The 17463-nt window shown below is 34.8% G+C and overlaps 1 long non-coding RNA gene across 1 annotated transcript in view, besides 1 other annotated feature; it reads right to left on the bottom strand.

The window, feature by feature from the left end:
• LOC105371953 (uncharacterized) overlaps positions 1 to 17463 on the bottom strand; it is a 155413-nt gene that overhangs the window by 22996 nt on the left and 114954 nt on the right. The gene's annotated exons all lie outside the window — the stretch shown is intronic.
• Positions 4148 to 4348: a silencer, noted in NCBI's record as "peak3040 fragment used in MPRA reporter construct". NCBI's record gives its function as "represses an SCP1 promoter by STARR-seq MPRAs in K562 erythroleukemia cells {active_cell/tissue: K562}" and the evidence as "EXISTENCE:reporter gene assay evidence [ECO:0000049][PMID:32103011]".

Raw genomic sequence — 17463 nt, 5'->3', positions numbered from 1 at the left:
AACAGAAAGCAACAACAACAACATCAACAAAAAAGACCCCATAAAAACTCCATCCAAACAGATTGAAAGTAAAAGGATGGACAAGGAGATACATATAAACTGCAATGATAAGAAAGCTGAATGACAATATATCACACATAAAAAAGCTTGTACCTGAAAGAAGACATCCCTAAATGCACAAAGCAAAAGTTAACAGAATAGAGGGGGGGAAAAAACAATTCAACAATAATAGTTGAAGACTTCAATGATCTCACTTTAAAGAATATGTCAGCTAGAGGGTGGGTGTGGTGGCTCATGCCTGTAATCCCACCACTTTGGGAGGCGGAGGCAGGTAGACCATGAGGTCAGGAGATAGAGACCATCCAGGCTAATATGGTGAAACCCTGTCTCTACTAAAAATACAAAAAAGTTAGCCGGGTGTGGTGGCAGGCACCTGTAATCCCAGCTACTTGGGAGGCTGAGGCAGGAGAATCATTTGAACCCAGGAGGCAGAGGTTGCAGTGAGCCAAGATCATGCCGCTGCACTCCAGCCTGGGCGACAGAGTGAGACTCCATCTCAAAAAAAAAAAAAAAAAAAAGAAAAGAAAAGAAAAGAATAAAAACAGAATATATCAGCTAGGAAGAAAATCAACAGGAATATACAAAACTTGAAAAACAGTAAAACAATTAGGGTTATCTATAGTCTACATCCATAAACACTACATATAGACTACCTCTACAGACACTACCAGAGAAAGCAGAATGTACATTTTTTTCAAGAGTACATGAAAAATTCTCTAGTACAGACCATGTGCTAGGACATAAAGCAACAAATAAACCTCAATAAATTTAAAAGAATAACAAAAGTGTTCTCCAACCACAATTGAGTAAAATAGAAATCAATAAAGAAATTTGGAAAACTCAAACATACTTGGAAATTGAACAACACACTCTTACATAAGCAATAGGTTGAATTTTAAAAGTCACAAATTAAATTAGAAAATTCTTTGAGATTAATAAAATGTTTTTAAATATCAGTACTTACGTAGTTAAAGCAGTCATAGAGGGAAATTTTTAGCTGTAAATATCTACCTTAAAATAATCAACACAAATTCTTCTAAGACAATGATGAAAGAAAAACAAAAAACAGTAAAGATTACAATGGAAATTAATGAAACAGAAAGAGGAAAACAATGGAGAAAAATTAACCAAACCAAAAGTTGGCTCTTCAAAAAGATCAACAAAATGGAAAAATCTTTAGCTAAACTGACCAAGAAAAAAAGAGAGAAGTCTCATGTCACTAAAATCAGGACTAAAAAGGAGACATTACTACCAACCTTACAGAAATAATTAAAGATGTCAAGGGAATACTACAAACAAATGTATGCCAACAAATTCACTAACTGAAATGAAATAGGAAAACTCTTGGACACAAACTAATGAAACTTACACAAGAAGAAATAGAAAATTTAAATACATACTCACTAAGCAAATATATTTAATTAGTCATTAAAAATGTTCCTAAAGAAAATAGCCAAGCCCAGATTTACTAGTCATGTAGTAAATTATTGTTAAATTAATAATCATTTATTTATTAGTCAATTATTAGTAACAATTAGTAAACTATTAATTTAAAGAAGAATTAGTATCAATTACTCAACAGCTCTTCTGAAAAATATGAGGGAGCACATTTTCACTTATTCTATGAGTCTAGAATTACCCTGATACCCAAAAACCGACAAATAAATCATAAAAAGGAAGACTACATACCAATATCGCTTAAGAATATAGGCAAAAAAATCCACAAGAAAATATTAGCAAATAAAAGCAATATTTAAAAGGAACTATGTACCATGATCAAGGGGAATTTGTCTAAGGAATGTAAGGTTGGTTTTGCATCTGAAAATCAATTAATGTAATCTACCATATGCATGTAATAAAAAAAGAACCATGTAATCATCTAAGGGGACACAGAAAAGGCATTTGACATAATCCAGTGGCCTTTTATGAAAAAAATTCATCAGATTAGAAATAGAAGAAAACTTCCTTAGCCTGAAAAGGCATCTACAAAAATCCCACAGCTTACATTATACTTAATGGTGAAGCTGAATGCTTTCCAGATAAGATCAGAGACAAGGCAAGAATGTCCACTCTCACCACTTCTATCCAACATTGCACCTGGATAGTCTAATTAGGGCAATTATGTAGAAAAAAGTCATCCCAATTGGGAAGGAAGAAGTAAAATAATAATAATAACAACAATAATAATAATAATAATAATGCCATCCCAATTGGGAAAGAAGAAGTAAGACAATTTCTATTTGCAGATGACATGACCTAGTGTATAGAAAATACTAGAGAATACACTAAAAGCTTTTATAACTAATAAGTGAATTCAGCAAGATTGCAAGGTATAAGATCAATGTACAAAAATCAGTTGCATATCTCTATACTGGCAATGGACAATTCTAAAATAAAATTAACAACATTAACATTTACAACAGCATTAAAACTAATAAATACTTAGGAATAAATTTAACCAAAAAAGTGCAAAACTTGTGCACTGAAAACTAAAAAATATTGATGAGAGAAATTAAGGAATGCCTAAGTAAAAGGAGCACATCCCACATTTATGGATCAAAAATCTCATGATAGTTAAGATTGCAGTAGTCCCCAAATTGATCTACAGATTCCAGACTCATCACAATCCCTATCAAAATTGTAGCTGTCGCCCTGGCTTTTACTGTGCAGAAATTGGCAAGCTGATCCTAAATTCATCTGGAAATGAAAGAAACCAGAATAGTCCAAACAATCTTGAGAAAGAAGAAAAAAGTTGGAGGACTCACACTCCCTGGTTTCAAAATGTACTAGAAAAGTACAATAGTCAAGACAATGTGGTATTGGCATAAATATACACATACACATCAATGGTATATAATTCAGAGTCCATAAATAAACTCCTACATTTAAGATTAATAAATTGTCAACAAGGATTCCAGGACAATTTAATGCAGGAAAGAATGGTGCTGGGACAACTGGATATCCACAAGCAAAATGATGAAGAAGGATTCATTCCTTACACTCTTCACAAAAATTAACTTCATGTAAATTGTAGACTTATATGTAAGATCTAAAACTGTAAAACTCTGAAGAAAAGAGAGGAGTGAATCTTAATAACCTTGGATTAAGAAAACCTTCTGAGATATGACCCCAAAAGTGTAAAAACAAAATAAAAAGTTGAAACATTGAGTTGCAATAATATTAAAAACTTTTATACTTCCAAGGACACTATCAGGAAAGGAAAAAGACAACCACAGAATGAAACAAAATATTTGCAAATTATATATTTGATAAGTTACATGTATCCACAATATGAATAAATTCTTATAACTCTTACATCTCAATAATAAAAAGACAACAAAATTAAAAGTGAACAAAGGATCTGAAAAGACATTTTTCAAGACATTGGCTCTTACATAAAGAGCCAGTAAGAACCAGAAATAATGCTCAACCTTATTAGCCATTAGGGAAATGTAAATGAAAATCACACTGAGATACAACAACAATAATAATAAAGGACAAATAAAAAAAGTGTTGGTGAGTATGTGAGAAATTGTAACCTTCATAAACTGGTGGGAATGTAAATGGTGCACATGCTTGAAAGCACAGCTAGGCAGTTCTCAAATGTGAAACATGGAATTACCATGTGGTCCCTCAATTTCACTCCTAGGTATACACCCAAGAGAAATGTAAATGTATATCCACACAAAAACTGGTACATGAATGTGTACGGCAGTATTATTCCTAATAACCAAAAAGAAGAGCCAAAAAGAAGAAACAAGCCAAGTGTTCATCACTGATTAATGGATAAATAAATAAAATGTAGTAGGTCTATACTATGAAATGTTATTAAGCAATAAAAAGGAATGAAGTACTGATATGGGCTACAACTGGAATGAACCTTGAAAACATAATGCTAAGTGAAATCAACTAGTCACAAATGTGTGATTCCATTTATATGAAAATCCAGAATAGGCAAACCTATACAAGCAGAAAGTAGATTCGTTGTTGCTATGTTGGGCAGCGGGTGGAGTTGGTGGGTGGAAGGTGGAGGAGTGGGTACAGGATTTCTTTCTGGGGTGACATAATGTTCTAAAATTAGATTGTGGTGATGATGACACAACTCTGAACATACTAAAAGGCACTGAATTGTACACTTTAAATGGGTGAATTGTTTGGTATGTGAACTATATCTCAATAAAGCTTTTTTTTTTTCCAAAAAGAGCCATGCCCAGAGGGAAAGTTGGAAACGAAAGCCAAGTTTTCATTTAAAAGGAAACATTAAAGAGGTTAGCCAGAGAAACTTGAACCAAAGAAAAGACAGCACGCTGTTCAGAATGGTCAATAAGAGCCTAAAACGGTACCCTCGGAATGAAGCAAAACTGAAGTCCCAAAGATTAAAACTGTTAGACATACAGGAAATGACAGAGCACTGAGTTTTACTAGAGGCTGAGGCAGGAGAATCGCTTGAACCCGGGAGGCCGAGGTTGCAGTGAGCCGAGATGGCGCCATTGCACTCCAGCCTGGGCAACGAGAACGAAACTCTGTCTCAAAAACAAACAAACAAACAAACAAACAAAAAACAAACACGAGCAACAAGATATCTAGGAGACCTGACTCTTTCAGACATCGTTCTTTGAGCTTCTTTTGCAGCACTTGGATGCAGTTTAGTTTGGGGATAAGTAATGCTAACTGCATAGAAGGCAAGCTGGTAGAGGGAAGTCTTTTGAGTTTTGGGATCTCTTACATTTTATGTTTTGCAACTCCATAGCCCTGTTTAATCAAATAACTATCTATTATTCAGTCTAGTGGCAGCCCATAAATTATAGAATAATTTATTTTTAAAAATGTAGACAGACCAGATATATGCAGCTAAAAGCAGTCCTAGATAAGAAATTACTACAGAGCAACTCCTCAGGTCTCTCATTCATCCTTTTGCTAGTAAATTCCATCAGTCAGTATTTGCAAGGAGCTCTGGTTGGCATGAAAATTGCCTTAGGCATCCCTGAGGATAAACAAGTTACAAACTAATGAGCCCTTTTCTTCCTCATAGCCATAAGGCCTATTTATTAGGGTGTCTACAATTCTGCTGGCTGGTGGAGAAGAGGTTTGAGCAGCTCAAATAATAATACAGCCTTTATTCTTCTAACAAATCTTTACTTAAATGTTGTGTATATATTATTATATATCAAATAATAATCATTACAGGATCCTTACATTGGCTCTGCCTTATAAGATGCAATAAACAAACTTGAAAATCTTCATATGGGAGCAACCATAAAGATAAGAAAACTCTTTGGAGGCTGAGGCAGGTGGATCACTTGAGGTCAGCAGTTTGAAACCAGCCTAGCCAACATAACAAAACGCTGTCTCTACTAAAAATACAAAAATTAGCTGGGCGCGGTGGTGGGTGCCTGTAATCCCAGCTACTCGGGAGGCTGAGGCAGGAGAATCACTTGAACCCGGGAGGTGGTGCTTGCAGTGAGCTGAGATCGCGCCATTGCACTCCAGCCTGGGCAACACAGTGAGACTCCATCTCAAAAAATAAAAATAAAAATAAAATACTCAAAATTATAACATGAGACAAGTCCTGAGAAACTGAAGAGTATTTAATCAGGAGGTGAAAATTTTGGCTTCAGAAGAGAAAATGCTAAGGAGGGAACATTAACACACATCTTCAAATATCTTAAGGGCCTGTCTCTGGAAGAGGAGTTAATCCCTTACGGGTGAACTCAGGAAATAATGGGTAGAACTGATAGAGAGTATATTCTAACTGTCAAAGGATATGAGATGTTGTCTTGGGAGATATGGAATTTTCTTTTGTGTAGCTAATAATGTGAAGACTGAACTATCTCTTATCAGAAACACTGTAGATATATTTAGCATTGGAAATGAGGTAGGTGACCCTACGTCCTAGTTTGCCCATGACAGTGGCAGTTTACTCTTTAATCCAGGTGTATTTGCGGGGCTTCTTTTACTCTCAAAAGTGCTCCAGCACATGACATCGTGACTTAGAGCAGTGATTTCTCACCCCCCGGTTATATATTACAGTAATCTGGAAATCTTTTTAAAAGTACTGATATCTAAATGTGGTTCCTACATCATATAAAACCAGAATCTTGGGGATGAGATGCAGGCATCAGTAATTTTGAAAGGTTCCCAAGTGATTCTAATGTGCAACAGGTGTTGAGATTCCCTTACCTGGAGGATGTTTTCATTTCAGTGTTAACTGAATCCTTTTATTCTATTTTATGTTAATATATGTTTTACTCCATAAGGAAAGCAAAGCTTGAAACTGCTACTGTTATAGTAGCAGAGGGAATAAAACAAACAGTAGGGAATAAGACAAACCTAAACATAGTCATGTTTTTCTAATTCCATATATATATATATATATATATATATATATATATGCTTTTATTACCCCCACCCAAAAAAGAGTTCCTTTGCATTCCCCTCCAAAAAACCTGGTGACATTTTTAAGCTTAAATGTTCTTTTATCAAGTGGAAAATAGATTCTATAAAGCTTTTATTTCCTTAGGAAAACCTGAGTCCACCAAGATTTCTACACTACACTTACATGCTTTCTTTAATGAGGTAATTATACTGTCAAGTGTTGGGCTAAGAGGTTTACCACGTGTGCAACATTGAATTAAATTGGTGCACAGTACAGATGGCAGTCGTTGAGCTTTCTTATTAGTTTATTAAATTTGATCCTTTGAAATATTTTACCACTTAGCCATGAGCCTCTGAATTCACTTTAATGAGTCTAGTCCTTTATCAGCTGCTTCTTGAAAATGGTTTCACTTTTTATCCTGCGGTCAAATGAGCTACAAGCTAATAATGTATTTTTCTTTTTGTAATTCCTGGGAGGAAAAACAAAACCCACTCCAGTCCATTGTTTCCATGGAACTTTCATTTAAAGGATGAAGATGTATGATGTATGATGAGGACTGGAAAACACCATGTGTAAGTCCCAAACTTTACATTTTTAGAGATAAAATTTACCCAAGATTTATGAAATGTTATTACACAGGAATATATTTTATAAAGTTGATACCAGTTTGTATACATTTTAAGACATGCATAGTGCCTCTGTTTCACTTCATTATGAAACATAAAGTGGGGACTAAAACTATTGAATTTTAAGAGAAGGGTAAGTATTGTGTGTAGTTTTCGATTGTGCTTGGGAATCATTGTTCTCTAACCTGGGATCTTAGGCTGAAAAGCTGAAAATCCTTCACTTACTAACATATGGCTTGAAAAATGGGTAACTCAATACAGAGAAACTAACTCTGTTCCAATTCCTGGTATAAATGATGTTTTCTTGCCATCAGCTATGGCAGGCAGCTGACACCCCTCCTCTCTTTCTCTATGTGCTCCAATGTACCTCATTTGCCCAGAGCCTCAGAAAACTCGTTTGCAGACTGGAAATCATACAGTATAATTATTTAACAAAACAGAACAAAATTAGTCACCAAAACAACTAGCACTAAATAATAAATTTGCATAGGAAAGGCGTTTCATCCCTATCTGTCTTTCAGATGTCTAATCCTTTTCTGACTCCCTCTGGCTCATCTGATGACAGAGTGGATCTTTTCCTATAAAAAAAGACAAAAAGGCTGGATAACCATGTGAAACAAAGTGAAATAAGTCATGTCCACACTAAAATTTTGTCTTGCAGTTTGGTCCAATTCAGTTGCTATAATTTTTGTGCTTCATAGATTTAACTCAGACTTTGGTAGAAAAGCAAAAATAGTATAACTAGAAAGATCATGTATATTTATGATTACTTATATTTTAGTTGTTTGAATAATATATCAGTTCTTTGATTTCAAGAACCTTTGTCAGGCAATCTAATATATTTGTGTTCAGAAATCTCTTAAAGAAGTATCCTCCTTATTTTTGAACTGACCCTGGAAAATAAGTAACAAATGCCATTCTCGTTTCCTACTGATACCAATTTTCGCAACCTTCTCTCAGATTTTTCTTTGACACTGAAACACAGACGAGCCATCTTTAATCTTCAGACATTTTCCCTTTTAGTCTGTTCTGTTTATGTTTGTGCGTATATATGTATGTGCATATGCATTTATTTAGTGGCTTGGCTATTTATTTATACCCTGCCTTATTCTGGAATGAATAAAAGGTGGTTTGTGAGAATATAGAAAATATACCAAAATTATAGCAGTTGATAATGGCAATGAAAGAATAAATAAAATATGAGACATAGATTGCAGCTTACAGTGATCACAATATGTTTAACCTAATAAGTTACTTATTAGTTAATGATCGAGCTGTTAATTTGATTCTAAGGAGACTTTTTTTTTAAAAAAAGTAAACCTGGTTAGGTACACAATTCACAGGGACCACACGACAAAATCAAAGTAATTTCTCAGGAGATGCACAATTAATCTTGATGCTGAGACCACTCAGCCCTTTTCTCATGGAGTTTTTTTAAAAAGTGAATATGGTGCAATCCAATAAATAAATAATGCTCTCAGGACATTATATCCACAGATAAATCTATTTACTTTTTGAACCAAGAGGTTTTGAGGATATCAATTTATAGCACAATTGTTAATATTGATAGTAATGTTTCAACATATTTTAGTGATACTGTTTATTATTATTCATGTATCTAATGTAAATTAAACGCCTAAGGTATACAGATGAAGGAAAGCCCAAATATCCCAGACTTGTGAGGGTTTTTAAGTTAGGACAAGTTTCTTTATTCTTGGATGAATTGTTATCAGTTGTGTCAAGTATATCCGAAAGGTCAAGTAAGAGGAGAGCTGAGAATTAACCATCAGATTTAGCAGTGTGGATGTCACTGTGATACTGATAAAAAAAAAAAAAAATAGGAGAAAAGCCTGCCTGAAGAGAGGTTAAGAGAAAAGGAGAGGAAACGAATCGGAAGTGGTAAATATCAACAACCTTGAAGGAAGTTACATTATAAAGGGGGACAGAAAGGTGGAGTTATAACTGGTCAGGGATGGGACCAGGAGAAAAGAAAATTTAATATTGGAGGAATCTCAGCTGATTTTTATGCTAATAGGAATTTTTGGTGGAGACAATTATCAAGGAGGAATTTCTGGAGGATGTCCTTGAGTAAGCAAGAGGAATGGGCTCTAGTGGAGGCATTGGCCTTAGTGGGGTACAATCACTCTGTCTATGGTACAGAGTAGAGAAGAGAAGGGACTTGTAGATAATAGTTGTGGTGAAATAGGAAACTGAGTCATCAGCTGAGAGTAGGGATAGGGGAACAGATGTTGCATGTTTGAGGAGACAGGAGAAGGTATTTAATAGTCATCTAAGGAAATATAATATGATTGCCAGGTTCCCTTGAGGACACAATTCAAATTAATTCTCATAAATTTCAAATGGGACTAGTCAGCATTCTTGTGTGCCTTTCTCCAGCCATGTCAGCTGTCTGGTAGGGCGTTGTGTCACAGGAAGCAGTTGGCTTTAACCAAGATCGGGGATTTTATGTATGTATTTATTATTTTTAGAGTTACTATTTTTTAAAAAGTTCAGAACTGTTGTATTGCATGCTGTACTTTGAATGACATCAACTTATTTATTCATTCAATAACTATCAGTGTCAGACTCCATGGTTCCTGCCCTCAGGGAGTTCCACCTAGCCCATGTGAGTTAATGTTTGTAGAAGGAAAGGTATCAAGCCTAGATGACCTCAGTTTGGCATGCAGAAGGCAGGGACAATCCACTTAGACTGGAAAATGAGTAACTGTTTTGAAAATGTTACGCATAGGTATAAAGATATTATATGACACACCCCAATTTCCAATATTTTAAGTCAAAAGATTTCAAACTTTTATCTCAGGACCCTTTCATACTCTTAAAAAAATTTTAAGGGCCCATAGAGCTTTTGTTTATGTAGGTTGTATCTATTGATATTGAAATATTAAAAATTAAAATCAATACATTTTAAAATGTTTTTAACTTAAAAATAATTAAACCCATTATACATTTTATGTTCTTATAAACAGCATACTTCTCATGAAATATAACTTTATTCTCAAACAAAAAATGTTCAGTATCAAAAGTAGCGTTGTTCTTTTTTTTACAAATCTCTGATTTAGTAGATGCAACTGGATCTCGTCTCTGCTTCGGCGTTTAATCTGTTGTAATAGCATGCATCACACAGCCTCTGGGAAACTCCACTGTACACTTGGGAGATAATAAGAGCAAACAAGGCAAGAAGCAGCTTAGTATTATTATAATTGTGACCTTATGTACTCTTCAAAGGGTCTTGGGGGCCCAGTGGTCTCTGGAGAACTTCGATAACAACTGCTCTCGGTAACAGCTAACTAAAAAGTGAAACAAACATGGACATTAGCTGTAACAGTCGCCTATGGGCATTGCATAGAAAAAAAAGAAAACTTGGCCAACAATTTAATTAAAATAAAAAAGCATCGGTTGATAATTCTTAAGTTGTGTTTTTGTTGTTGTTGTTGTTTTTATTTTGCCTTTTATTTAACCAGTGTGTTTTTTTTTAAACATAGAACTGGTGAAATTTAAGGAATCTGAAATTCAGCTATTTTTAATTCTTCACTGTTCAATCCTGGAAGTTGAGGTCCAAAGAAATAATAATCTATGTCCCAATGATGGTCAGGGATAGCTACATGTTTTAAAATAAAAAATGGAAATCCATTAAATTGAGTCGTCAAAACAATTACGTGCAATTAGTTTAAAAATTGAGTATTTCAAATAATGTAAGTTAGCATCCAGATTTGATCATTTTGAAACTATCCTTTTTGAAATAATTCTAATTTTTTATCAAACCATGCTAGTTACACACTACTAGTTATCCACTGGTGGCTGCTTACAGATGAGGCATAAGGTCTGGAAGGGATTAAGATAGTTATTCTTGGATTTTCTTTGTAATTTCAAATCGTTATAAGTCATGGTGACATTGTGGTATATTAGACATTTGCTTAAAGAACATCAAAGACAAAAAGGAAAGAAAAGAATGGAAAGCTATTGTAGAGTTTAGACTTTTCTAAAATCCATTTTGTTTATTAACCACGGTAATAAATAATCCTTTGACAACAAATGTTATTTAATGGGCAATACTTGGAGCTGCTGCAAATCTTCACCATCAATTGTACACTTTAATTAAAAACTAAGAAACAGCATAAATGCCCATGCATCTTTAAAAAAATGCAAATTCAATTTGTTATTATTTAATGCTATAAACAGCTGAGATATATATATACATATCAATTTGTATCAGTTCATATCAATTTATATATCAAATATATCAATTTAGTGGAGATACATATTTATTTATTCATTTCACATTTCAGGAGTATGCCTAGAAGGAGGAAAGATATTATCTGCTCTGTCAAACAGAATAGATATTTATTATTCAGCATATTTTCATAGTGGAAGAAATATACAATCATAAACCTAGCTAGAAATTTAAAACTTATAAACAGAAATTTGAGAAAAGAAAAGACAAACATGTCTTCAGTATCCTTTGCTCCCCACTTTTTAAGATAGGCAGTTCTCATTTTGAAGCCCATGCAACTCACACACTACTGGTTATCCCGGGGCAGCTGCTTAGAGATGAAGCATAAGGTCTCCACATGAGATAGAAAAGGAATGGTCAACCGTAATCAACCTTGTTGAGCCTTGAGCTCCTTGTCTATTACATTTGTTTCTTCCAAAGTGCAACAGAGTAATATATCTCATTAAATGGTCACCTTTGCTAAGATTATAGGCTTTCCCTAAAGTTAAAGGTAAAAGTTTTATGTAAGCGAAACATTTAGTAGAGCCTTAGAAATGCCTTGTAGAATGAACAACATTCATTCAACAAATATCTGAGCACCTAGTACTGTGATTCTCAATTCTGGCTGCACATTAACACCACAAGGGAAGTTGGTGTTTTTAAAAACACCAATGCCCTGGCTGCACATTAACACCACAAGGGAAGTTGGTGTTTTTAAAAACACCAATGCCCTGGCTGCATCCCACATCAATTAAAGCAGTGTCTCTAGGATAAGAATCAGCAAGCGGAACTGTTTTAAACTCCCCAGTTCTAATGCGCTAGAAACAGCTATATTCACTGAAGATGAGTAAAGCATATTACTTATCCAGGAAACTTGAAGACTACTGTGAAAGACAAGTATACATGTAGAAAATCGTACTATAATATAATATGAGATATAGAATACATATTTTCTAGCTGTTACAGACTATGTTCTGGGAACTATACATGCATGCTGTTATTTCTAATCTATAAAAACTTGTAAATTTGTCATTATTATCATTTTACAGATGTTGAAATTAGACTTCTAAGAGATTAGTAAGTTGACCAAGTTTACATGCTAGTAAATGGCACAATGGCTGTTCAGCCTGCATCTCTCTGAGTCTGAAGCTTGGACTCTTTACACTAAGGCACACTGTCTCTGGGGAGATTCTCAGAGGTAGTTAACACTTGAGTTGAGTCTCTAGGAATCAGTAGACTTGGGTACATAGGCAATGAGATAAGGGCATTCCATGTTGTGCCAAAGACACGGAGGCATGAAAGAGCATGGCTTGTTGGAACACTACACATCGTTCCACATAGCCATCTAGAGTGGTCACTGATACGTTTAATGAATGATGCACCATGAAACTGTGAAAGTAATCAAAGATTATATAATAGATGTTAAATATTTTTATTTAAACACCAAAATGTTAAGGAAGTATAAATTAAATTGACAGTAACTTGGAGTAGATGTCCATTATTTTGTCGGTTCAGCAACTTCTTTTGTCCTGGAAACATTACTCTGCCATTTTGGGGACATGCCCTACTCTCTTCCGAATCATGTGGTTAGATGATTCTTACATGCTCTTATCTGTCATTTCCTGACTCTGAACCACTGATCTCCCTTTATTGGCTCAGGAGAGCAGCCACAGCAATAAAAGTGTTTCCCCAGTTTCTGACCTAAAAATGAGGAAGAAAGTTGGTGCCTGTCTTCCGACAGATGCTGTGAGATGTGAAGCCTGGGAGCTACTGGACAACTACCTTGCTGCTGCATGTTCACAGAAAAGAGAGATGGGAACTCAGACAGAGAGTCTCTGATTCTGACTGTCCTGTAGGTCCAGCTGTATTCCTAATTGTATTAGGATGGTCAACATTATTAGGATGGTTAACAGTAATGAATAACCTCCAAATCACAGCGGTTTAAATAATACAGGTTTATTTCTTGTACATTTTCATATCTATAAGGGATCAGTTGAGGACTGGATCATCACAATCATGTAGGGACCCTGGTGTATGGAGCAGACCCTTCTTCCATGTTGTTGCTCCCCATGTCAGAGGGAAATGAACACGCTCTGAAGGGTCTCTCACCAATAATTAAATACTCAGGTCCAGAAATGCCACTTACCACTTCCGTTCACAAATCATTAACCAGGAGTGGTTAAATTGCCCTACCTAACCATATGGCAGGGGCATGAAGTACAAACCATATGGCTACACTGGGGAACAACCAGGAAATAGTTTATCAAACAGCACTACTGACTAGCACAGTAACCTACCCACAGATATTTTTTTCAATCCTTCATATTCCATGAGAAGTGCTATTATCTTTCCAATAATTTCCTTTAATTTTAATTTAGTACATTAGTTTTTACTTTCATGAAGTTAATACATTTCTATAAAGTACGTGGTGCTGAAAGACTTAAGAAAAAAGCAGGAGTCCTCCCACCACTCTCTGTCCTGGCTCCAAAGGACAATCACTTCCCACGCTTTAAGGGGCTTCAACCTCTGCTGTGTCAATGACTGCTTCATTAGCTGCCTTCATTCTGCCCAAAATATGTTGAAGCTTCTTACTTAAAATGCTCTCATGGGCTAGGAGTTTTCTTTTAAAATGGATATGCCTGGAAACAAATGTGACATCTTCGGTGTTTTCCGCTTCCCTACTTATATAATCTTTGAGTGTTTATCCCTTTAAATATGTATATTTACTGTTGTTTTGATGGGATTGCAGGAGGAAACAAATATGCCACCTATATTTACACTTTCCACCCCCTATACCCAAGTTCTAATTGGGTTTCACTCCACTGACATTAAAGGAGTCCCAGAAAATGTGAAGCTCTTTAAGTCTCTGGTCTTCAAACTGCACTAATAATATAGGGATGCTACAAACAGTGCAGAGACAGTGAAATGAAATTTATTTGAAAGTGAATATTGCAAACACAGAATTATTTCAAGGAAGCGTTGCATATTTTCATGTGACACGAGCAAAGTCAACCTTGAATTTACAGGTAGAAATTACGTTCAGAGAATCTATGAAGTATTCAGAAATTACACTTACAGTAGTCCCCACTTATACATGGTTTTATTTTCTGTGGTTTCAATGTAGTCTGAAAATAGGTGGGCACAGTTCAATAATATATTTTGAGGAAGAGAGAGAGAGAAAGAGACCATATTCACATAACTTTTATTACGATATATTGTTATAATTGTTCTATTTTATGATTAATTAATCTCTTACTCTGCTTAATTATGATAAACTAAACTTTATCACAGGTATATATGTATAAGAAAAAAAGTATATATAGGGTTGGTATTATCTGAGGTTTTAGACATTCACTGGGGGTCTTGGAATGTATCCCCCATGGAATAGAGGGGACTACTGTATTTGTATTTTAGCATTTCCAGGATCCTTTCTACCTAGCTCAAGAATTACAATACAAAAGCTAACCTAGCATTGAGACTCAACAGAGAGAAATAAAAGTTTTAGTCTTGTCAGGTCATTGATTTTATGACACTGACTTATTTTTCTCCAGGCTTTAGAAATCTTTGCAACTCTTATCCCTCTTTTTCTCTGTTTTGTTTTGAGAATCCCTCTGGGGATCTCTTATAGATTTTTTTTTCCCAATAAAGGTTAGGAGCCACTTGGGATTCTTTCAAGAGCACATAAGAATGACAGAGTATAGGACAGAGTTTGTTCTCAGAATAATATACACTACTGTATGTACAGAAACCATTATTTAGATTATTATAGGTATATGTGAATATTCCACAGATGATAATTAAGAGAAATGTTACGCTTTTATTATAGTCACCATGATGCAGACAGACAAACAAAACCTGTGATTGTTTTCTCAATTCTCAGAGAAAATGTTAGCACTAAGAATATATTTTTATATTTTAACTTAGGAGCTTTCTTGTGTTGATATTTTATGTATTGCTTTTCTGTTTCCATTAGGAATATTGTATTAACACTTGACTCAAAGATACTGAAATGTAAATATTTATTGCATTTGGAGTACTTCTAGCTTAACCAAAATCTTCAACATCCTGCAATAGGATGATATGCACTGCAATGAACTATATGCACACCTACAACTTCACTTAAAACATTTATTGAAGTATTGAGACACTAATCTCCTTTAGAAATTAAAATAAAATGAATTTAGATGACAAGAATTTCTTCTATCATTAGACAAATCCTCGTGCCCCTTTGTCCCATAACACTTTTGTTAGGTGTTATTAACCTAATACTTCATACTGAGAGAGTTTAGGAGATTTCTTAAGGTGATACTTAAAAGAAAGAAAAAAGAACTTCTTTTATGTCAGATAAATAAGGCTGAGACATTACACAGGCATTATATATTTTAGAGTAAGGAAACTGTATTTTAAGAAAGATAAATCTAGGTGGCAATCTAACCCCACATGTATTTCTTGTCTTACAAAATCTCCATTTATCTGTATGAGTAGAAAACAGTTTCATGTGTGGTATGTTAGGTCCTCCTATAATCATCTCCAAAGAAATAAGTCCCATATAATTGCAAAACTACAGCAAACTAAAATGATTTTCCTTTTAAATGAAGACTTTTAATTTGGGGTAAAAGGAAAAACAAAAATTGCATCAATTACTCATTCCCTTCATTTCACACCCTGGCATACAAAATAAAATATGCTTATTGTTGGCTGGTATGGAGGGGTTCTCTTTTAGTATATTTTTTGGTGATGAATATGACCTGCCTTCTCTTGGACCAATCACCACAACTTGTCTTCTGTAATTTATTTGCTGGGTAAATTATGAGGGTTCAAGCTGGAGCTCACAACATTAGCTGAATTAGCAGGTGAGCATTACAGTAGCCCACACTTTTCAGGAGCTCAGATGTGTTATAGAGTTCTTCCCACACTCAAGTCCACCAGGTGTAGGTCTCTTTTTCACTGTTCCATTTTCCCAAATCTGGTAAGTGATTATTAGGTTTTTTTCCTCATCAGCTTGTTTATTATTAGGATTTTGTTGGGGAAGTGGAAAATTAATTAAATTGGGCTCCATTGCTTTAACCTACTTAGTGTAACAAAATTTGATGAATGTAAATTAGTAAATTTTCTGGCCATGTTTTCATGACTAGCTCAAATTATTCCTGTTTTTAAAATGCGTTCAGTAAATAGTTATTGAGGTTTATCATGTGCCAGGTGCTTTTCCAAGTTGTGGGCATACAACTCTGAACAAAAACAGACCATGTCATTATTCCAATGGAGGTGCATTTAGGTGGGGGAGACAATAAACAGATAATCATATATGTCAAGAGGTGATAAATGCCAACAATAAAAAATAGAGCAAAGCAATGAGATCAGATAATGAATGATGCAGTGTGTGCTAATTTGAATAAGGTCACCTAGGAAGTCCTCTTTGATAGCTTGTCATTTGAGCCAAAACTTAAAGAATCAAAGAAGAAAGTCATACAGATATCTTGAGGGAAAATGCTTCTGACAGAAACTGCAAGTGGAAAGGCTCTGAGGCAGGTGTGTAATCGTCCTAGTGAAGGTTCAGCAAAGAACTTGGTGTGGCTGAAGGGGAGTTAGAAGGGGTAGCATGATAGATGCAGACAAGGGAAATGGGAGGTGGGAAGATAGCAGATCTAACCATGGAGGCCATGATAAAACTTTCGATTTTATTCAGGTCAGTCAAGTGAGATGAGATTGGAGACTTTAAAATTGTTTTAATTGACATAATATAATTGCACATATTTATGAGGTACATAGTGATGTTTTAATTACATATAATGTATAGTAATCAGACCAGAGTAATTATCATATCCATCATCTCAAACATTTATTATTTGGGTTGGGAAAATTCAATGTTATCTTCTAGCTACATGAAACTATATAATATATTATTGTTAACTATAATCATCCTACACTGAAATAGGACACTAGAACTCATTCCTCCTATCTAGCTGTGATTTTGTATCCTTCAACAGATCTCTCCCTATGCCCTCCTTTTCCTCCTCTTCCCAGCCTCTAGTATCTTCTGTTCCACTTTTTGCTTCTATTATTTTAATTTTTTGTAGCTTCCACCTATGAATGAGAACATGCAATTTTTAACTTTCTTTTCCTGGCTTATTTCACTTAAAATAATGTCCTCCAGTTCTATCCATGTAGTT

The sequence above is a fragment of the Homo sapiens genome, chromosome 18 (genome assembly GCF_000001405.40).
Source record: "Homo sapiens chromosome 18, GRCh38.p14 Primary Assembly".
Taxonomy (NCBI): domain Eukaryota; kingdom Metazoa; phylum Chordata; class Mammalia; order Primates; family Hominidae; genus Homo; species Homo sapiens.
Note: the sequence above shows the minus strand (reverse complement) of the source record. Positions and strands in the feature narration are given on the sequence as shown.